This window comes from Homo sapiens, chromosome 8 (genome assembly GCF_000001405.40).
Source record: "Homo sapiens chromosome 8, GRCh38.p14 Primary Assembly".
Lineage (NCBI taxonomy): Eukaryota > Metazoa > Chordata > Mammalia > Primates > Hominidae > Homo > Homo sapiens.
Genome location: NC_000008.11, coordinates 144,428,755 through 144,449,265, shown reverse-complemented (window position 1 = coordinate 144,449,265; position 20,511 = coordinate 144,428,755). Strand labels below are relative to the sequence as shown.

At 62.0% G+C, this 20,511-nt stretch overlaps 1 protein-coding gene, 1 long non-coding RNA gene and 1 other non-coding gene across 6 annotated transcripts, besides 3 other annotated features; 2 read left to right on the top strand and 1 right to left on the bottom strand.

Annotated features, from left to right (window-relative positions):
• Positions 4,231-4,370: a silencer, noted in NCBI's record as "silent region_19686". NCBI's record gives its function as "represses an Ori minimal core promoter by ATAC-STARR-seq in GM12878 lymphoblastoid cells {active_cell/tissue: GM12878}" and the evidence as "EXISTENCE:reporter gene assay evidence [ECO:0000049][PMID:35858748]".
• Positions 4,411-5,180: a silencer, noted in NCBI's record as "silent region_19685". NCBI's record gives its function as "represses an Ori minimal core promoter by ATAC-STARR-seq in GM12878 lymphoblastoid cells {active_cell/tissue: GM12878}" and the evidence as "EXISTENCE:reporter gene assay evidence [ECO:0000049][PMID:35858748]".
• TONSL (tonsoku like, DNA repair protein) lies at positions 4,826-20,491 on the top strand. 4 transcript variants are annotated; one of them, NM_013432.5, is made up of 26 exons: positions 4,826-4,876; positions 4,991-5,086; positions 5,242-5,384; positions 5,945-6,128; positions 6,460-6,589; positions 6,854-7,025; positions 7,115-7,229; positions 8,155-8,300; positions 8,396-8,548; positions 8,790-8,915; positions 9,056-9,245; positions 10,531-10,613; positions 10,706-10,795; positions 12,167-12,239; positions 12,346-12,509; positions 12,585-12,708; positions 12,848-13,608; positions 13,716-13,792; positions 14,096-14,249; positions 14,377-14,455; positions 14,987-15,288; positions 15,507-15,678; positions 16,806-16,981; positions 18,115-18,188; positions 18,729-18,862; positions 19,930-20,491. In NM_013432.5, the coding sequence occupies exons 1-26, from the start codon at positions 4,852-4,854 to the stop codon at positions 20,121-20,123; spliced, it is 4,137 nt and encodes a 1,378-aa protein (NP_038460.4). In that variant the 5' UTR covers positions 4,826-4,851; the 3' UTR covers positions 20,124-20,491. The 4 variants fall into 4 exon arrangements, with proteins under 4 accessions (NP_038460.4, XP_011515352.1, XP_011515351.1 ...); XM_011517050.3 differs by lacking the exons at positions 14,377-14,455; positions 14,987-15,288; positions 15,507-15,678; ... (2 more) ...; positions 18,729-18,862; positions 19,930-20,491 and having other exon boundaries at positions 12,848-13,612; positions 14,096-14,184; XM_011517049.3 differs by lacking the exons at positions 4,826-4,876; positions 4,991-5,086; positions 5,242-5,384; ... (2 more) ...; positions 6,854-7,025; positions 8,155-8,300.
• Positions 5,426-5,934: an enhancer, noted in NCBI's record as "H3K27ac-H3K4me1 hESC enhancer chr8:145668715-145669223 (GRCh37/hg19 assembly coordinates)". NCBI's record gives its function as "activates a minimal SCP1, AML or CMV promoter by ChIP-STARR-seq in naive H9 embryonic stem cells {active_cell/tissue: H9 hESC(naive)}" and the evidence as "EXISTENCE:reporter gene assay evidence [ECO:0000049][PMID:30033119]".
• On the bottom strand, positions 9,373-14,098 carry TONSL-AS1 (TONSL antisense RNA 1). Its single transcript, NR_109770.1, has 6 exons — positions 13,826-14,098; positions 12,271-12,515; positions 11,520-11,567; positions 10,933-11,038; positions 10,484-10,589; positions 9,373-9,790 (listed from the first exon to the last, which is right to left on the bottom strand). It is a non-coding gene; the product is annotated as a TONSL antisense RNA 1 (long non-coding RNA).
• MIR6893 (microRNA 6893) lies at positions 13,647-13,715 on the top strand. Its single transcript, NR_106953.1, has one exon. It is a non-coding gene; the product is annotated as a microRNA 6893 (primary transcript).

Here is a 20,511-nt window from a genome sequence, read left to right as displayed (position 1 = left end):
GTAATCCCTGGTCCTTTCTTCCCCTGGGACTCCCAGGGCTACTGGGAAGGATACAGCTTGACGCCCCCACCTTTGCTTAGGAGATGTGGCTCTTCCGTGATAGCTTTTTGTTGCTTCAATACCAAAGAACTGGTTTCCTCTGCTCCAGTCAGGTGCATTAACTTGCCTCACAGCAGCCCAACCCGCCCCCACTGGCTGCTGGGGCCTGGCCCACATTGTCCTGTGCTTTGCTGGTCACGGGTCGAGGGCTGAGAAATGGAGAGGAACTGGGGGCAGAATGTAAGCGCCATCATCCGGGCGGCTGACCATGGCACAGCCCAGCATGACCCTCCCAGTCAGCTCTTCCCTCCCGGGCCGCCGCACTGCCCCTCACGGGCTGAAACTTTCTGGAGCTGTTTCTGAGAATGCTGTGGGTTTCTACTCCCAGGCCAGGGCGTGTGGCCTGCTGGGAGTGCCTCGCTGCCGGAGCCTTATCTCCTGCAGAGCTGATGTGGCCTGGCCACCAAGGGCATGGGAAGGCCCCATGTTTGGTTTTCTGCTGACCACAAAGAAAGACCCCACCCAGCCCCCAGCACATCCTTGGGAGCAGCTGCCTCTGACTCTGGCACCACCAGGGTGAACTTGGGCACCTCAGGGCTGCGCTTTGGGGCTGTCCTCCCTCATGCTCCACCCACAGGCGCAGAGGGTTGGGCTATGGCTCTACATCTCTTTGGAAGCCCGACGCCCTCTAGCGTAGTGTTTCTGGGTCCAAGGTGATGGTGTGGGGCGCACGGGTGGGGCGGGCTTGCCCTGTCACCTGTTTGGTTGTGTGTGTGAGAGACTGACTCAACGGAGGGACAGGCCCCAGCATGTCTCTGGGGTGGGGAAGGTGGGAGGCTTGTTCTTCATGGGGACAGCCAGGCTGGGACGCCAGGGGCCTGGAGGCAGACGTCTCTGCAGGTTGGGGGGCCACGTGGAGAAAGGAGACCCGGGGCTGGTTGAGCTCCTGCAGCCCCACCTCCGCAGTCCCGGGGCAACCAGCCCTGTGGGAGTTCAGGATGGGAGGGGCTGGCCTGAGGGCAAGGGCAGTGTCCACACAAGGCCCTTCCAGATGTGGGATGTGGGTGCCTCAAGTCTGCAAGTGCGGCCCAGCGTACTCAGCAGGCATCTGCCCTGTGACCATGACATGCAGCAGCTGAGCCTTATGGCCTGGGGGAGCCAGGCACCTGGGAGGACCACGGTGGGTCCTCGGCCACCGGGAACTGGAGCACGGGCTTCCCGTGGCGTTGCCAACGTGGGCCACACATGACAGGACCGCCAAACACACGGCTTGTGTCCAAGACCCTGAGACATCTTGACGTCCCGACCTGCTCCTTTGTCTTCTCTGAGGATGGGGGCGTGGGGGTCCACACTCCGCAGATGTGGGGGGCATAGCCTAAGCCAGGCCCCACCCTTCTCCCTCCCTTGTCTCATCCCCACCCCCTGGTGAGCACCACATCCCTCATTTATAAAAATAGGCCAGGCACGGTGGGTCACGCCTATAATCCCAGCACTTTGGGAGGCCGAGGCGGGCGGATCACCTGAGGTTAGGAGTTTGAGACCAGCCTGACCAACATGGTGAAACCCCATCTCTACTAAAAATACAAAAATTAGCTGGGCGTGGTGGCGCGCGCCTGTAATCCCAGCTACTCAGGAGGCTGAGGCAGGAGAATCGCTTGAACCCAGGAGGCAGAGGTTTCAGTGAGCTGAGATTGTGCCACTGCACTGCAGCCTGGGTGACAAAGCGAGATTCCGTCTCAAAAAAATAATAATTTTTTAAAGAGCAGAGCAAGAAGTGTTTTTACCATTGTTGGAAATGACTTATGTGTCACTTTTGTGGTCTGCGTTCTCTTTGGATATTTTCTGTATGTAACAACTGTAGTTTAAAAAAATATTCCAACCCATGTTTTGTCTGTGTTTCCTTACCAGAAGACAGACACACAGCTGGGCCTTCTGGGCTCTGCTGGCCTCCCCTGCTGCCCTCAGCCTGTGGCAATCTGCACCAGGCCTGCAGCCCTGCACAGCACTGCCTGACGTGTGTACCTTGTCTGGTTACTGGGGAAACAGGCACAGAGAAATTGGGTTGTCAGCCGGGCATGGTGGCTCACGCCTGTGATCCCAGCACTTTGGGAGGCTGAGGCGGGTGGATGACCTGAGGTTGGGAGTTCGAGACCAGCCTAACCAACATGGTGAAACCCTGTCTCTACAAAAATACAAAAATTAGCTGGGCGTGGTGGTGGGCATCTGTAATCCCAGCTACTCAAGAGGCTGAGGCAGGAGAATCACTTGAACCTGAGAGAAGGCGGTTGCAGTGAGCCAGAATCACGCCATTGTGCCCCAGCCTGGGCAACAAGAACAAAATTCTGTCTCGGAAAAAAAAAAAAAAAAAAGAGAGAAATTGGGTTGTCTCTGAAGGGGAATTCGGCTTCCAGGAGCTGGGCTGTCCTGTGGACCCTGGGGCTGAAGGGGATACTTAATCGTTGTCCAGGTAGCTCAGGGAGCCCCTCTGGTGTCCAAGCCACCCTGTCTTCAGCTGTTCATCTGAGTCCTCTGATTCTGAATCTCACTCCCCACTCCCTCCCTCAAGCCTCACTGTGCCCCTCACACACCTCACCAGCTTGCCCTCCAAGTAGTTGCCTTGGCTCAGAGCCATGCTTTGGATGGGCAAGGGGTTGGCAGTGCAGACCTCCACAACCTGTCCTCACACCCAGGCCTGCCTGGATTTCCTGCCTCCTGCAGCTTGTGACTGCACAGGTGTGCAGGCTTGGCCTGGTCCCACCCCTGCAGCCTTGGAGGCACCGAGGCCCAAATCTGCCCAGTCCAGGGGCCACGCCAGGAGGCCAGCGCTCTGCCGTCAGCCTGAGGAGGGCTCCAGCAGCCTTTACTGGACCCAGGGACCTGTCAGTGCATCACACCACTCTCTCCCCAACAGATCTCTCTGGCTGAGTTTTGCCCAACGACTTGCTGTAATTACGATGGAAATTAACTCATCTATCTTCCACTCCTGAGGCTCCTCAGTTGGACTCTGTGCACCCAGCCTCCTCTGGGGCCTCTGGGAAACCAGCCACTGCACCTGAGTGCAGTGCTGGGTGTGCTGTGTAGCCGGGAGTCAGATACCCAAGGCATGGCAGGTGTTTGGTCCTCAAGGTAATGGGGGATAGCAAGGGTATTTTAGAGGCCTGGGTGCCCCATGTCACAGGATTCTAGACATAATTTTGCAGTTGTTTTCTCTCTTTCTTCCTTTTTTTTTTTTTTTTTGAGACAAGAGTCTCGCTCTGTTGCCCAGGCTGGAGTGCAGTGGCGCCATCTCCGCTCACTGCAAGCTCTGCCTCCCGGGTTTACGCCATTCTCCTGCCTCAGCCTCCCCAGTAGCTGGGACTACAGACACCCGCCACCACGCCCGGCTAATTTTTTGTATTTTTAGTAGAGATGGGGTTTCACCGTGTTAGCCAGGATGGTCTCGATCCACTGACCCCATGATCTGCCTGCCTCAGCCTCCCAAAGTGCTGGGATTACAGGGGTGAGCCATTGCGCCCGGCCCTCTCTTTCTTCCTTTCTTTCTTTTCCTCCCTCCCTCCCTTTCTTTTTTTTAAATAAAGATGGGGTATCGGGCTGGGCATGGTGGCTTACACCTGTAATACCGGCACTTTGGGAGGCCGAGGTGGGCGGATCACAAGGTCAGGAGTTTGAAACCAGCCTGGCCAGCATGGTGAAACCCCGTCTCTACTAAAATGCAAAAATTAGCCGGGCATGCTGGCACGCGCCTGTAGTCCCAGCTACTTGGAAGGCTGAGGCAGGAAAATCGCTTGAACTCGGGAGGCGGAGGTTGTGGTGAGCCGAGATCACACCATTGCACGCCAGCCTGGGTGACAGAACGAGACTCCGTCTCACACACACACACACACGAAAGATGGGGCCTCACTATGTTGCCCAGGCTGGTCTCGTACTGCTAGGCTCAAGCGATCCTCCTGACCGGGCCTCCCATAGCGCTCGGATTACAGTGCGGGCCACTGTGCCCGGGCTACTTCTGCAGCTGAAGCACAGGTTCACTGACTCTTCCGAGAATACAGCTGGCATACACATTGCTGAAACAATACTTGTTCACTATGGAAAGCACATTCCCCTCCCAAAACAGTCCTTGGGGCCGAGTCCCCAAATGTGACCCAGCTGCGTTCTGCGGAGGAGGAGCGCGCCTGACACCTTATTACGTCCCCACAGCCAAATGCTCGTGAATTTATCGTCAGTCTATCTGGACACTACGTTCGTTTTTAATAGTTGCGCCTGTGAGCAGGCTGTGTGTGTGAATTTCGGGAGGAATTGGGGCGGCGGCACAGCTCGTCCACCATGAGTAGCGCGGGCGGCACGGGGGCTGCAGCCCAGAAGACCCCACCCAGGGCGCGCTGCGACCCCGGACGGGCTGGCTCCGGGCCCCCGGCCTCCCGCGTCCCCGCCGCCTACGAGGAGGAACGGGGTCCCCACCAGGCACTCCCCGGGCCGGGCAGAGGGCTCCACGCGCGGGCCAACCCGGCGTCCGGGAAGACGGCCCCTAGGGTGGGACGCCCCAGTTGTCGCCGCCACCCCGCCCCAGCTCCTCCCGCACGAGAACTCCGAGGATGCCGCGGGCGGGCCGACCGTACTTCCCGGAATGCCCCGCGCCCGCCGCCGCCGTCGAGGGGCGGGGCCTGCGTGTCGGCGGCGAGGGGCGGGGCCTGCGTGTCGGCGGCGAGGGGCGGGGCCTGCGTGTCGGCGGCGAGGGGCGGGGCCTGCGTGTCGGCGGCGAGGGGCGGGGCCGCGGCGCAGCGCGGGAAGTCCGGATCCCGCGGCGATCCGAGCATGAGCCTGGAGCGCGAGCTTCGCCGTAAGTTCCTCGGGGACCCCTTCCTCCGGGGGCGCGGAGGCTGGGGAGGGCTTGGGACTCGGCCCCGGCCCCGGACCCCGCCGCGGAGGCCCAGCCCTCCTCTTCCTCCCACAGAGCTGAGCAAGGCGAAAGCCAAGGCGCAGAGGGCCGGGCAGCGGCGCGAAGAGGCCGCGCTGTGCCACCAGCTGGGGGAGCTCCTGGCCGGCCATGGTGAGCGCCGGGACCAGGAGGCGGGAGGCAGGGCCGGGGCCCGGGCCCGGGCCGGGATCGGGGGCCGGGGGGCGACGGGCTCTTCCGGCAGACGCCGCCCCAGGGCCGCCCTCGCACCCGCGACGCCTGCCAGGCCGTGCTGTGCCCCCGCCTAGGCCGCTACGCCGAGGCTCTGGAGCAGCACTGGCAGGAGCTGCAGCTTCGGGAGCGCGCTGACGACCCTCTGGGCTGTGCCGTGGCCCACCGCAAGATCGGAGAGCGCCTGGCCGAGATGGAGGACTACCCGGCTGCCTTGCAGGTGCGGGCGCCCTCACTGGCCTCGTCCAGCCCGGTCGGCCTCTGGAGCCCTTTTCTGAGGAGGGAGGCCTGGTCTTCGCCGTCAGGAGCCTCGGGCTGGAGGGGACACCTGACCTGACGCAGCCTTGCCTTCACCGCCCCGGGCCAGTCCTCCGGTGGGGACCCCACAGCCTTTCCTGGGACTGGGGCAGGAGTAGGTTTCCTGGCACCAGAAACCATTACTGAACGTTATTTTAGCTGTGTTTGTGTTGGGGGAGGTCAGGCCCCATCCCAAAAGCTCTCCCTGACCCTGGCTGCTGGAGGCAGGACTGCAACCCCCCCGCCAACTCCCAGCTGCCCCTCCCCACGTGACAGCGTTGGCTGCATACAGCGTGAAGCCACTGTCACCACAGAGAGCCCTTGGCATGCAGAGGAGGGGCACGTGTCTGGCCTTGGCCTGCTCTGTGGGGGTTAGGGGGAGCAGGCTCTTTCCTTAGCAAGAACAGGGTCTCTGGGAATCTGGCGGTGCCGGTTTGCTTGAGGCGGAGTCGGCTCACAGCAGTGACTTCCTTCCACACTCAGCACCAGCACCAGTACCTGGAGCTGGCACATTCCCTGCGCAACCACACGGAGCTGCAGAGGGCCTGGGCCACCATCGGCCGCACCCACCTGGACATCTATGACCACTGCCAGTCGAGGGATGCTTTGCTGCAGGCACAGGCTGCCTTTGAGAAGAGCTTGGCTATTGTGGATGAGGAGCTGGAGGGTGGGCAGACCCCTCCGCGTTTTCTGCCTCCTGAACTTCGGGCCGAAGAGGCTGCAGCCCAGCACCCCCGCAGCCTCCTTGGGCAATCCCGTCTTCTGGAGCCCTCCCTTTGCAAGGCTCTTGTGTGAGGGGTGCATGCCCCGCTCAACCTTTCCCCTGGAGATCGTCAGCTCTTTATCCACTCTGTGCTCCATCTGCCGCAGGACACTTGCACCCACCTCGGGAGGAGGGAGGGGGTAGGAGAGGCGCTGCACAGGCCCCAAATGGGGCCCAAAGCTGGAAACCCCATGTGGGGAGGAAGTGGCTGAGTGTTTGGGGGGGTATCTTCCAGGGACACTGGCCCAGGGAGAGCTGAATGAGATGAGGACCCGCCTCTATCTCAACCTGGGCCTCACCTTTGAGAGCCTGCAGCAGACAGCCCTGTGCAACGATTACTTCAGGAAGAGCATCTTCCTTGCGGAGTAAGGCCCTGCCCCGCCCCAGGAGGGAGTGGAGTCCCTTGTTCCTGGAGGAAGTAGTTAGGGGAGTATTTTTCCCAGAGTCCTCCTGAGAGAGCAGTCTGGCTGGGCCTCATCCCCCCACCTCTCACACCTGTGCCACACACTGGGAGAAGGCCAGGCATGGTTAGGGCCCTGAGACCACAGCATGGCAGGGCTGGGGCCCGTGTGGCATCAGCAGCTGTCATGGACACTCCTGGGTGCTCAGTGGTCGTCACCCCTCTGCAGGCAGAACCACCTTTACGAGGACCTATTCCGCGCCCGCTACAACCTGGGCACCATCCACTGGCGCGCGGGCCAGCACTCCCAGGCTATGCGCTGCTTGGAGGGTGCCCGGGAGTGTGCGCACACCATGAGGAAGCGGTTCATGGAGAGCGAGTGCTGCGTGGTTATTGCACAGGTACCCGCTGTGCGTGGCTCCGAGCTCAGGCTCTCGTAGATTCGGGCCTTGGGGATTCTGCAAAACCTTTGCTGTCCTTTGCTCTCCAGGTCCTCCAAGACCTGGGAGACTTTTTGGCTGCCAAGCGAGCCCTGAAGAAGGCCTACAGGCTGGGCTCCCAGAAGCCTGTGCAGAGGGCAGCCATCTGTCAGAACCTCCAGCATGGTGAGCCTGGGGGTGCGAATGGGGCCCTGGGAGGTGTGTGCAGGGGTGAGCCTGGGGGCGGGGTGGAGTCCCGCCAGGTGTGTACAGGGCTCTCTCCCTCACAGAGGAGGCCTGAGCACCTGTCCTTGGAGGCAGCAGCTTCAGCAAGAGGGGCAGGTACCCCTACTTCCTGACAGGAGAAGACCCCCTTTTTTCTCTGAGCTCAACACAGTGTGTCAGGGGCAATGAAAGGGCGGCCAGGAGACCAGCTGGGCTTTTATTTCGCAGCCACCATCTTCATTGGCAAACTGGAGACAGTAGTTGTACCCCTAGCCTCCCAGGGTGGGAGAGGAGATGGCACGCGTGGTCCAGGAGTGCTGATGGCAGAGACCACCATTGGAGGTTGGCAGCCGTCAGCCCTTACTTTGAGCCAGGCACCATCCATGTTGTGTTGTTTTTTTTTCTTGAGACGGAGTCTCGCTCTGTCACCCAGGCTGGAGTGCAGTGGCATGATCTCGGCTCACTGCAAGCTTCGCTTCCCGGGTTCATGCCATTCTCCTGCCTCAGCCTCCCGAGTAGCTGGGACTACAGGTGCCCGCCACCACACCCGGCTGATTTTTTGTATTTTTAGTAGAGACGAGGTTTCACCATGTTAGCCAGGATGGTCTCGATCTCCTGACCTCATGATCTGCCCGCCTCGGCCTCCCAAAGTCCTAGGATTACAGGCGTGAGCCACTGTACCTGGCCCCGAGTTTTTAAGTGTGTTAGTTCTTGTGACCCTTGAGACCAGTCCCCAAGATAGACCCTGCTATTAACCCCCACACCAACAGGCAGGCAGAGGTGTGGAGAGAGTGGGGGGGCCACCACAGGGCTCACAGCTTGCAGGTGGTAGAGCTGGGGTCAGGGCCCCCTGTGCTGCCCCCCTGCATGAACCTCTTCCCGGCAGTGCTGGCAGTGGTCCGGCTGCAGCAACAGCTGGAAGAGGCTGAGGGCAGAGACCCTCAGGGTGCCATGGTCATCTGTGAGCAGCTAGGGGACCTCTTCTCCAAGGCAGGAGACTTTCCCAGGGCAGCTGAGGCTTACCAGAAGCAGGTGTGTGGCCCCGGCTGGGTGGGAGGGAAGGGCCAGTGAGGTTGACGAGGCCTGGCCAGGGTGGCAGCCCCTGGCCTCACTGGCACTGCCCCCAGCTGCGTTTTGCTGAGCTGCTGGACAGACCGGGTGCTGAGCGGGCCATCATCCACGTGTCCCTGGCCACCACACTGGGAGACATGAAGGACCACCATGGGGCCGTGCGCCACTATGAGGAGGAACTGAGGCTGCGCAGCGGCAACGTGCTGGAGGTGAAACCCTTGCTCCCCGCCCGAATGCAGGTTCACCCATGTCTCTGCCTCAGGACTGCCGTTCTCAGGGTGGCCATGGACAGGTGTCCTTACTGGACGGGCAGCTCCTTCCTAGGACCATCCACCCTCGGCAGCTGGGAGGCCGGGCTCCCATTTCGTCTGGGCAGCCGGGGAAGCTTGACTGGGGCCCGTTGGACGCAGACAGCGGCAGCCCCCGACCCTGTCCTTCCTCCTGCTCCAGGAGGCCAAGACCTGGCTGAACATTGCACTGTCCCGCGAGGAGGCCGGCGATGCCTACGAGCTGCTGGCCCCGTGCTTCCAGAAAGCGCTCAGCTGTGCCCAGCAGGCCCAGCGTCCCCAGCTGCAGGTGCGAGAGCCCATCCCACCCATACTGGCTCCCCGGTGAGCCCAGCTTCGTTGCAGCCTGCCTGCCCCTTGTGCCCCATCCCCATCTTTCTCTGCGTCCACAGCCCCCAGTCCTGAGCTGAGCATCCCTCTGCTCCTCAGAGGCAGGTCTTGCAGCATCTCCATACCGTGCAGCTGAGGCTGCAGCCCCAGGAGGCCCCTGAGACCGAAACCAGACTACGGGAGCTCAGTGTAGCTGAAGATGAAGATGAGGAGGAGGAGGCGGAGGAGGCGGCAGCCACAGCGGAGAGCGAAGCCCTGGAGGCCGGCGAGGTGGAGCTCTCAGAGGGCGGTGAGGGCCAGCGGCACCTTGCATTTCCCTGGGCCTGCTCTGGGCCGGGCTGGAGAGGGGTGTGCTGTGCTGCTGTGGAGCCTGCTTAGGGCTGTAGCAGGAACAGCCACAGGCAGGCAGGACGGCCAGTGCTTTCCCGGAACTGGACAGAGAAGGTGGTGACCCGCAGGGAGCCTGGGGCGGCCTTGGCCTCCTGGAGGAGACAGTGGTTGGGAGTCGAGTGAGTGTCAGCTGGGGCATGGTCCCGTTAGAGAGGCACGTGCCATCTGGGGCCAGGGGTGAGACGGTGCACTTTGAAGAGCCCCGGCTGCCTCTGCAAGAGCTGAGCACCTTCCTGAAACCCTTCAGAGCAGGCTTGGGTTTCCTCCAGAGGCTGGCGACATCAGCTGCACGGAGGGCAGGCATGAGGGACTGGCTGGAGCGGGGCTTGGACTGAAGCCATCTTGGCCGTGGTGCAGGGAGAGAGGGCTGAGAGCGGGGTTAGCGGGTAGCTGGGAGGCTGGTTTCTGACTGAGTGGTGGGTGGCAGGAGCCTGTCCATGAGGCCTGTTGGGGGGTGTTCCAGGGAAGGCTGTGACTTCAGCTCTGAACTCGAGGGCGTCGTTAGAACCCTGAGTGGCCAGGCAGCTGTGGGAAGTTGGGGCCTTGCCAGGTTGGTTGCTGGGGGGAGGTGGATCAGGATCTAGAATTTTGGGGAATGCTGCTCAGCTGGTGGGCACAGTGAGGAGCTGCGGAAAGACCCAGAGGCAGCTGGCAGGGTGTGAAGGGCGTGGTGATGAGGGGTCACCCGAAGCAGGGACGGAGGCGGGTGTGTCTGCTGCCTAGGCAGGGTGGAGGCTGCAAGGTGCAGGATACCCAGGCTCCAGGGCTGACCTGGCCTGACGACACAGCTCAGGAGATGGGGGTGGATAAGGCGTGGGGTGGAGGAAGACTGGCCCACGAGCCGGTCTGGGCGTGGGGATGAGTGGCTGGCGCATGGACAGAGGGGGCCTCGGGCAGGCCTTCTGTGGGAGGGCCAGGCGTGGGTTAGGGCAGAAAGCTCAGGGGTGTGTCTCAAGTGGGCAGAGGGATGGTGGGCAGGAGCAGGGTCCCAGCAGGGTCAGGGAGACATGGAGGCAGCGCTGGGACCATTGCTGAGGAGCCCCCAGAGCCCAGCAGCCTCAGAGCTCAGCCCTCCCGTCTCTGGCTCCTTTGTACCTGGGAGTTTGGGGAGCTTGCAGCAGGGTGGGGGCTGCTAACCTTCACCTCCCACGGACTCCCCTGGGGTGGGCTTGGCTCTGTTCCAGAGGACGACACCGATGGCCTGACCCCGCAGCTGGAGGAGGACGAGGAGCTTCAGGGCCACCTGGGCCGGCGGAAGGGGAGCAAGGTGAGGACAGTGCCCTGCCCCCACCCACCCCGCTCAGCAGCCCTGCCAGCTCCTCACGCCCCTGCCCTGTGCTGGGTTGGCTGTGCCCACAGTGGAACCGGCGAAACGACATGGGGGAGACCCTGCTGCACCGAGCCTGCATCGAGGGCCAGCTGCGCCGCGTCCAGGACCTTGTGAGGCAGGTGGGCCCCGCTCTGGGACGTGGGACAGGCTGCCTAGCATGGAGGAGCTGTGCGTTTGTGCCGGATCCCCTATCTCTGTAACTCTCAACTTCCTCATCTTCAAAATGGGGCCCCTTAGCAAGCATGGTGGCACTTGCCTGTGGTCCTAGAGGCAGGAGGATCACTTCATCCTGGGAGGGAGATTGAGGCTGCAGGAGTCGCGATCATGCCACTGCACTCCAGCCTGGGCAACACAGTGAGACCCTGTTTCAAAAAAATTTAAAAAGCGGAGGCTGCACGGGGTGGCTTATGCCTGTAATCCCAGCACTTTGGGATGCCAAGGCAGGCAGATCACATGAGCCCAGGAGTTCGAGACCAGCCTGGGCACCCTGGCAAGACCTTGTCTCCAAGAAATTTAAAAATTAGGTGGATGTGATGGCGTGTGCCTGTAGTCTCAGCTGCTTTGGAGGTTGAGGTGGGAGGGTTGCTTGAGCCTAGGAGGTGGAGGCTGCAGTGAGCCATGATCTTGCCACTGCACTCCAACCTGTGTGACAGAGCAAGACCCTGTCTCAGAAGAAAAGCCACAGGCCGGGTACAGTGGCTTATGTCTATAATCCTAGCACTTTGGGAGGCTGAGGCGGGCGGATTGCCTGAGGTCAGGAGTTTGAGACCAGTCTGGCTAACATGGTGAAACCCTGTCTCTACTAAAAATACAAAAATATTAGCTGGGTATGGTGGCACATACCTGTAGTCCCAGCTACTCGGGAGGCTGAGGCAGGAGAATCGCTTGAACCTGGGAGGCGGAGGTTGCGGTGAGATGAGATTGCGCCGCTGCACTCCAGCCTGGGTGACAGAGCGAGACTCTGTCTCAAAAAAAAACACAAAAAAATGGGGTGCCCAGGCTGGGCGCGGTGGTTCATACCTGTAATCCCAGCACTTTGGGAGGCCAAGGTGGGCAGATCACGAGGTCAGGAGCTTGAGACCAGCCTGGCTGGTCTCAAAAAAAAAATGGGGTACCTGCTGTGTGGTATGCATCTGTGTTACAGCTAAGTTGGTCAGCCTGGCCAGGATGGGGGCTAGCCCATGGGCTGAGATCTGGGCACCTTCCCGCCCCGCCTGCCTCATGCCCCTGCGACCAGGTGCACTGTCTCCCCACAAGGGGACCGGGCAGGCACAGAGGCGGAGGATATGCTGTGGCTGGTCCACCTGTCTCAGGGGGAAGCATGTCCTTCACTGGTGACACCTAGGCCGGAGGAGGAGAGGGCAGGGCCACGGACTTGCTCTGGGCTCTAAGACTGAGGCCCTGGGCTCAGCTTAGGCTGCAGAGCTCACGGGGCTGGGGCCAGGCTGTGAGGTACACAGGGCCAGGCTCCTTCCTGTCCTTGGTCACAGGGCCACCCCCTTAACCCTCGGGACTACTGTGGCTGGACACCTCTGCACGAGGCCTGCAACTACGGGCATCTAGGTGAGCAAGGGACAGAAGGAGCCTGGCGCACCTTGGTGGACACGTGGGGCGAAGAGTCAGTCCTGGCGGGGCATCGGGAGCTGGGCTTACGTCTCCTGGTCTGCAGAAATTGTCCGCTTCCTGCTGGACCACGGGGCCGCAGTGGACGACCCAGGTGGCCAGGGCTGCGAAGGCATCACCCCCCTCCACGATGCCCTCAACTGTGGCCACTTCGAGGTGGCTGAGCTGCTGCTTGAACGGGGGGCGTCCGTCACCCTCCGCACTCGAAAGGTGAGCCTGGTGGGGCAGAGGGCAAGGGCGAGGTTATGGGGGCTGCTGTGCCCCTGCTCAACTGATGCCACACAGGGCCTCAGCCCGCTGGAGACGCTGCAGCAGTGGGTGAAGCTGTACCGCAGGGACCTGGACCTGGAGACGCGGCAGAAGGCCAGGGCCATGGAGATGCTGCTCCAGGCGGCTGCCTCGGGCCAAGGCAAGCAGGGCGTCCCTTGTCCCTGGGGTTGCTGTGCCTACGCTGAGAGTCCCCGGGCCCTGATTTCGGGAGATGCTCCATCACAGGTGGAGCGGGAGGTGCCGGGCCCCTGCCTCAACACGCATTCTCTCTCCCACAGATCCCCACAGCTCCCAGGCCTTCCACACCCCAAGCAGCCTTCTGTTTGACCCCGAGACCTCTCCTCCTTTGAGCCCCTGCCCAGAACCCCCCTCTAATAGCACTAGACTCCCAGAGGCCTCTCAGGCCCATGTCAGGGTCTCCCCAGGGCAGGCGGCACCAGCCATGGCCAGGCCTCGGAGGAGCAGGCATGGGCCAGCCAGCAGCAGCAGCAGCTCAGAAGGCGAGGACAGCGCAGGCCCCGCACGGCCGTCCCAGAAGAGGCCTCGGTGCTCGGCCACAGCACAACGGGTGGCAGCCTGGACGCCTGGCCCCGCCAGCAACAGGGAAGCAGCCACAGCCAGCACCAGCCGGGCAGCCTACCAGGCAGCCATCCGGGGTGTGGGCAGTGCTCAGAGCCGGCTGGGGCCTGGCCCACCGCGGGGCCACAGCAAAGCCCTTGCCCCCCAGGCAGCGCTCATCCCGGAGGAGGAGTGCCTGGCCGGGGACTGGCTGGAGCTGGACATGCCCCTGACCCGCAGCCGCCGGCCCCGCCCCCGGGGCACTGGAGACAACCGCAGGCCCAGTAGTACCTCTGGGTCGGACAGTGAGGAGAGCAGGCCCCGTGCCCGAGCCAAGCAGGTCCGCCTGACCTGCATGCAGAGTTGCAGTGCGCCAGTTAACGCAGGGCCCAGCAGCCTGGCTTCAGAACCTCCAGGGAGCCCCAGCACCCCCAGGGTCTCAGAGCCCAGTGGGGACAGCTCTGCGGCAGGCCAGCCCTTGGTGGGTATGCAGACCTGGAGCAGAGCCCTCTCCCCACTCCGGGCAGGCAGGTGTAGGGTGGAGCCCACTGTGGCTCCTGACTCAGCCCTGCTGCCTTCACCTGCCAGGGTCCGGCCCCGCCCCCTCCCATCCGGGTTCGAGTTCAAGTTCAGGATCATCTCTTCCTCATCCCTGTCCCACACAGGTGAGGCATCGCCTGCCCTACCCCGCAGCCCACCTGTGCAGCTCCATGCCAGGGTGCTCGTGTTTGCATGTCAGGGTGGGGCGTGTGACGAGGGCTCCCTGGTGTGTTCCAGGAGGATCCTGTGGCCCCCAGGAATAGCAGAGGGGCTGGTGGTGTGCTGGGCTGCAGGGAGAGGAGGGGCCGGCTACCTGGGAATGGGAGAAGCAGCTGAGGGGGCTTCTGGCCCTGGGCAGGGATGGCGGGTCCCTGGGGCATTACCCCGGCTGTGTGCAGGCAGCAGCAGCAGCGCCTCTGTCCCTGCAGCAGTGACACCCACTCTGTGGCCTGGCTGGCCGAGCAGGCGGCCCAGCGCTACTACCAGACCTGCGGGCTGCTGCCCAGGCTCACCCTACGGAAAGAGGGGGCCCTGCTGGCCCCACAGGACCTCATCCCTGATGTGCTGCAGAGCAATGACGAGGTGAGCCGCAGAGCGGAGGGGGAGCCAGGGCCTCAGGCACCGGGAGCCCCCGGGTGGCTCATGGCTGCAGAGCAATGATGAGGTGAGCCGGGGGAGCCCCCAGGTGGCTCATGACGGTGCCTTCCAGGTGTTGGCTGAGGTGACTTCGTGGGACCTGCCCCCGTTGACTGACCGCTACCGCAGGGCCTGCCAGAGCCTGGGGCAAGGTGAGGGCCAGGAGAGCTGCAGTTTCTGGGTGAGGTCGTACAAGGGGGTTGGGCACACAGGCTCCACCAGCCCGGTTCATTCCTGGGCCTCGGGTGTTTTGGGGTGCACCTCCCCCAGCCTGGTGGGTGCTGTGTCCTGCACTTGGATGTGTGGGTGGAAGGGAGAGGACAGCCCTCAGCCCCCATGATCTGCTGACAGGGAGATGGCAAAAAGCAGCCGAAAGCCTGGAAAGTCAAACCCAAGGAGGAGGGCCTGGCATGGGCTGGGAGCTGCTGGGGAAGCTTCCCAGAAAGCTTGTCCCGGGGGGTGTGGAATCTGGCAGTGACTGGTGGAGCTCAGGGTGCTGCAGACCCACCCCGGCCCCCAGGGCCTCACAGTGCTAGACCCACAGGCATGTGCGAGTGGGCTCTACAGCAAGTCTGGTGGGTGACCCCTGGGGCTGTTGAAAAGGGGCTGCCTGGTTTGCCCTCTGGGATTCAGAGGGCAGAAAGGGCCGGCCTTACCCTGGTGACATCACATCCCTCCCGCAGGGGAGCACCAACAGGTGCTGCAGGCCGTGGAGCTCCAGGGCTTGGGCCTCTCGTTCAGCGCCTGCTCCCTGGCCCTGGACCAGGCCCAGCTTACACCCCTGCTGCGGGCCCTCAAGCTGCACACAGCACTCCGGGAGCTGCGCCTGGCAGGGAACCGGCTGGGGGACAAGTGTGTGGCTGAGCTGGTGGCTGCCCTGGGCACCATGCCCAGCCTGGCCCTCCTTGACCTCTCCTCCAATCACCTGGGTCCCGAAGGCCTGCGCCAGCTTGCCATGGGGCTCCCAGGCCAAGCCACCTTGCAGGTATAGGCACAGAGAGCAGCAGGCCCTCAACAGCGGGGAGTTGGGGTTCCCATTCTGCAGGTCCCTGGGTGGTCTAGGGTAGTTGGGAGAGCCAGCCAGTGCCCGGCTGTAATAGGCTATGCCAGGCAAGGTGGGGAAGAGACTGCCAAGCCAAGCCCCAAGGGGGACCCTGTCCGTGGGACTGCTGGGGGCTCACTGCCAGCCTGTGTCTTCCACAGAGTTTGGAGGAGCTGGACTTAAGCATGAACCCCCTGGGGGACGGCTGTGGCCAGTCCCTGGCCTCCCTCCTGCACGCCTGCCCCTTACTCAGCACCCTGCGCCTGCAGGCGTGTGGCTTCGGCCCCAGCTTCTTTCTGAGCCACCAGACAGCACTGGGTAGTGCTTTCCAAGGTGAGCTGACCAGGCACTCCCTGTCCACTCCCTAGCCCTGGGGCATTGAGGGTTTCCAGGACTTTCAGAGGGGGCCCAGGCTGGGCACACAGGGGCAACACCTGTGGTCCCAGCTACTTGAGAGGCTGAGGCGGGAGTATCGCTTGAGCCAAGAGTTCCAGGAAAGCCTGGCCCACATAGTGAGACCCCATCCCTTAAGAAAAAAGCGTCTAGGCCGGGCGCAGTGGCTCACGCCTGTAATCCCAGCACTTTGGGAGGCCAAGGCGGGCAGATCACGAGGTCAGGATATCGAGACCATCCTGGCTAACACGGTGAAACGCCGTCTCTATTAAAAATACAATTAGCTGGGCGTGGTGGCCGGTGCCTGTAGTCCCAGCTACGCAGGAGGCTGAGGCAGGAGAATGGCATGAACCCGGGAAGCGGAGCTTGCAGTGAGCCGAGATCGCGCCGTTGCACTCCAGCCTGGGCGACAGAGCAAGACTCCGTGTCAAAAAAACGAAACAAACAACGTCTAGGGGCCTGGGATGCCAGACCTGGCTCTCCGGGAGGGCCTGGCACCTGGGAGCAATAGATGGATGTGTGGGTACAGGGTCTGCCTCCGAGGGGCGTCTGGTGCCCACCCAGCCAGGCTGACCCCCGCAGGACACACCGAGAGCAGAGTCCGGGCAGCTAGTGTCCTGTGGTCCCCATCCCGTGCTCGCCAGCTGAGTGCTGTTCGCCTGAGGCAGTTCCACTGTGAGCCCACTCAGGCTGCAGAGACTGGGGTCCCAGTGCCAAGAGGCTGGGAATTGGGTGTCATCCAGGGGGAGTGTAAGGGGGGCAGCAATGGTCAGTGCACTCCCCTGGCACCCCCACTGTGCAGAGGCATGTGGCCCAGGACCGTGTGGTTGTGGGGTGGGAGAGGGCAAGTTGTCCAGAACTGGGGGCAGCCGAGCTTGGAAGTCTGGCCCCGCCCTCCCAGCTGGGAGAATCTGGGCGAGAGCCTTTGCCTCTGCACTTGCCACCCCACCCTGCGAGCACTGCGGTAGTGGTTTCCCCAAAGGGGTCCTGAGGGTTCTGGGCCCAGAACTTGGGGTGGGTACAGGGCTGTGGCCACGTGGGGCTGACGGATTCTGGCCCCGGTGCAGATGCTGAGCACCTGAAGACCCTGTCCCTGTCCTACAACGCCCTGGGAGCCCCTGCCCTGGCCAGGACCCTGCAGAGCCTGCCCGCCGGCACCCTCCTGCACTTAGAGCTCAGCTCCGTGGCAGCCGGCAAGGGTGATTCGGACCTCATGGAGCCTGTATTCCGATACCTGGCCAAGGTACGAGGTGGGGAAGAACCCAGAAAATACTGAGCCTCAGAGGCCAAAGGTCCCAGGGTTGCTGGGAGGAGCTCGCCTCTCCCCAGATTCGGGCTGAACTCGCTGAGGGGCTCTACAGAGAGAGTTAGAGGTTTGGAGGTTTAGAAAAAACAGCTGGGGGGCCAGGCGCGGTGGCTCACGCCTGTAATCCCAGTACTTTGGGAGGCCGAAGGGGGTGGATCACAAGGTCAGGAGTTCAAAAGCAGCCTGGCCAACATGGTGAAACCTTGTCTCTAGTAAAAATACAAAAATTACCCAGGCGTGGTGGCGGGTACCTGTAATCCCAGCTACTCGGGATGCTGAGGCAGAGAATTGGTTGAACCCGGGAGGCAGAGGTTGCAGTGAGCCTAGATTGCACCATTGCACCCAGCCTGGGTGACAGAGCGAGATTCCGTCTCAAAAAAAAAAAAAAAGAAAGAAAAAGAAAAAAACAGGCTGGGCGTGGTAGCTTACGCCTGTAATCCCAGCACTTTGGGAGGCCGAGGCGGGCGGATCACGAGGTCAGGAGATCAAGACCATCCTGGCTAACATGGTGAAACACCATCTCTACTAAAAAATACAAAAAATTAGCCGGGCGTGGTGACGGGCTCCTGGAGTCCCAGCTACTTGGGAGACAGGCAGGAGAACAGCGTGAACCCGGGAGGCGGAGCTTGCAGTGAGCCGAGATGGCGCCACCGCACTCCACCCTGGGCGACAGAGCGAGACTCTGTCTCAAAAAAAAAACAAAAAAAGAAAAAAACAGCTGGGGGAATGCTTTTGTACAGCTGCCTGTCTCAGGCTGTGAATTCCTGCCCACCAGATAGGACCCGGGACTCAGGGTGATCTTGCCCCCCGCCAGGAAGGTCCCAAGGGGCACACTAGGGCCCCTGATGCTCTCTCCTGGGGGGTCTTCCAGGCACAACTGGGACCCTATTATTTTCACACTATCACGTGCAGAGTGTGACCCACATCAGGAGAGGTGTTTCCTTCCGATCTCCAACTTGATGGGGGACTCTGCTCCCTTCTGGGCCCCTGGGTGTGGTGCACCTGCTGGGAAGCAGGCAGGGCAGGTGCGCCACTCCGTTTGGCCCCCTTGGGCCTCTGCTCATGTCCAGGAAGGCTGTGCTCTAGCCCACCTGACCCTGTCTGCAAACCACCTGGGGGACAAGGCTGTTAGAGACCTGTGCAGGTAACGCCCTTTCCCTGCTGCCTGCTGACCTGGGGGTCTGATCTCATGGCTCTGGACCCTATGGGAGAAGGGCCACAGAAATGGTACCAGCTCCTCCTCCCCAGCACATCCCAAGACCTGGCTCCTTCGGTTTCCACCAGCCTCTCAGGCTGCCCTGGAAGGCAGACTACCCTCTGGCTTCTTTCTTAGCATGGGCCTGTGGCTCTTGAGAGCACTCCTCCGGGGGTGTCCTTGTCATTCCTGTGCCTCGGCCCACATGAGGGCACTGCTCTTATGACCTGGAGCCTCAGTCAGCTCTCTGGGGAGTGTTGAGAGGAGCCCAAGCTGGGCCAGGCACACCCAGAGCTGGCCACTGTGGCCCTGACCCCTGGGAAGGACCCCCAACCCTAGAGGGCCACCTGCTACTGGGCCAGGCTGAGGCAGAGCCCCTGGGTCTGGCCCGAGGCTCCCTGAGCTGGCATTTGTCTGGGCAGCTTTCCTAGTGTTGGGGCACAGCCTCTCTGGAAGCCAACCTTTGCACTTCTTCCCATGTTATCTCAGATGTCTCTCTCTGTGCCCCTCACTCATCTCACTGGATCTGTCTGCCAACCCTGAGATCAGCTGTGCCAGCTTGGAAGAGCTCCTGTCCACCCTCCAAAAGCGGCCCCAAGGCCTTAGCTTCCTTGGCCTGTCAGGTGAGTGCTGGTATGGTGGCCACGCCTGCCATGTTCGGCCTTTTCAGGGACCTGCCTGAGACCCAGGTGCCTCCTCCTAAGGGGCTGTCACTGCTACCAGCCAGGCAGCAAGGCTGGGCTCCATGAGGCTGGGGCAGCAGGGGGCAGAGTGACAGTGACAGAAAAGGGGCATGATCCCAGCTCCTAAAACCATGGGTTAGGGGGCGAGGTGGGTATCTGCCTCTGGTCTCTCCAACCCAACCTTCAGAGCAGACTATGGTAGGCAAGACCCTGTTCCACAGGGACTTTCTTCTTGTCCCTGGCAGGAAAAGGGATCCCAAGGTCAGGGTGTTGAAAGCTGCCAAGGGACCCTCCTACTTCCTGGCAGGGGCTCCTCTGACACAACCCTGCCCAGGGCTGTGGTCTGATTTAGCTTGTTCTCTCTTGAGCCACATCAGGGCAGTCCCCAACCTGAGCTGTCTGGAAGACAACCCCAGGAAGGGCTTTGATGACCTGGCTTGCCCCACTGGGGCCGGGGCAGGCTGTGCCCTCCAGGGGATGAGGGCTTAAGTGAATGTGCACGAAGCGGGGCTCTGCTTTCTTCCTGTGCCCCCTCCCCTTCACCTCCCAGGGCCAGGCCGCCTTTTCCAGGAAGGCCCCCGAGTGCTGGTGTGAGACCCCTTCCCCACACCTCAGTTCCTGGCATCTGTACCTTCCCACCCAGCTCCCTGAATTCCTGAGCTTAGTGTTCTCTTGATCCACTCAGGCCCACGATGTACAGATTTGCAAGCAGATCCATTATGTCCTTCTTATGGGTGGGGAGACTGACGTGTAGGCATGGACTTTGAGATCGGGCACTGTCAGAGGTAAAGAAGGGAGCCACCCTTCCTCCTGTCTGACCGCTGGCTGTGCAGATGATCCCACCCCTTCCTGGAGAGTCATGGGGCCTCTCCGGAGCTCTGCCCACTGCCCCTCGCTACAGCCCTGGGGCCCTCAGCGAAAGCGAGTTTGTTCCCTGGAGCCTGCCGCGGGCACCAGGACGCCGCCGGCCCCCGCAGCGCTGAGGTCTGCCCTCTTCCCCTCCGCAGGCTGCGCCGTCCAGGGTCCCCTGGGCCTGGGCCTGTGGGACAAGATAGCCGCGCAGCTCCGGGAACTGCAGCTGTGCAGCAGACGCCTCTGCGCTGAGGACAGGGACGCCCTGCGCCAGCTGCAGCCCAGTCGGCCGGGCCCCGGCGAGTGCACGCTGGACCACGGCTCCAAGCTCTTCTTTCGGCGCCTCTGACCCTGGCGCTGCCTTTCCCCACCCTCACCGAAGCCCCTAATAAATGAAGCTGCTGGCCGGGCGCGGTGGCTCACGCCTGTAATCCCAACACTTTGGGAGGCCCAGGCGGGCGGATCACGAGGTCAGGAGATCGAGACCATCCTGGCTAACATGGTGAAACCCCGTCTCTACTAAAAATACCAAAAATTAGCCGGGCGTGGTGGTGGAAGCCTGTAGTCCCAGCTACTCCGGAGGCTGAGGCAGGAGAATGGCGTGAACCCGGGAGGCGGAGCTTGCAGTGAGCCGAGATCGCACCACTGCACTCCAGCCTGGGCGACAGACCGAGACTCCGTCTCAAAAAAAAAAAAAAATAAAATAAATGAAGCTGCTGCCTCCCTCCCCGTGGCTG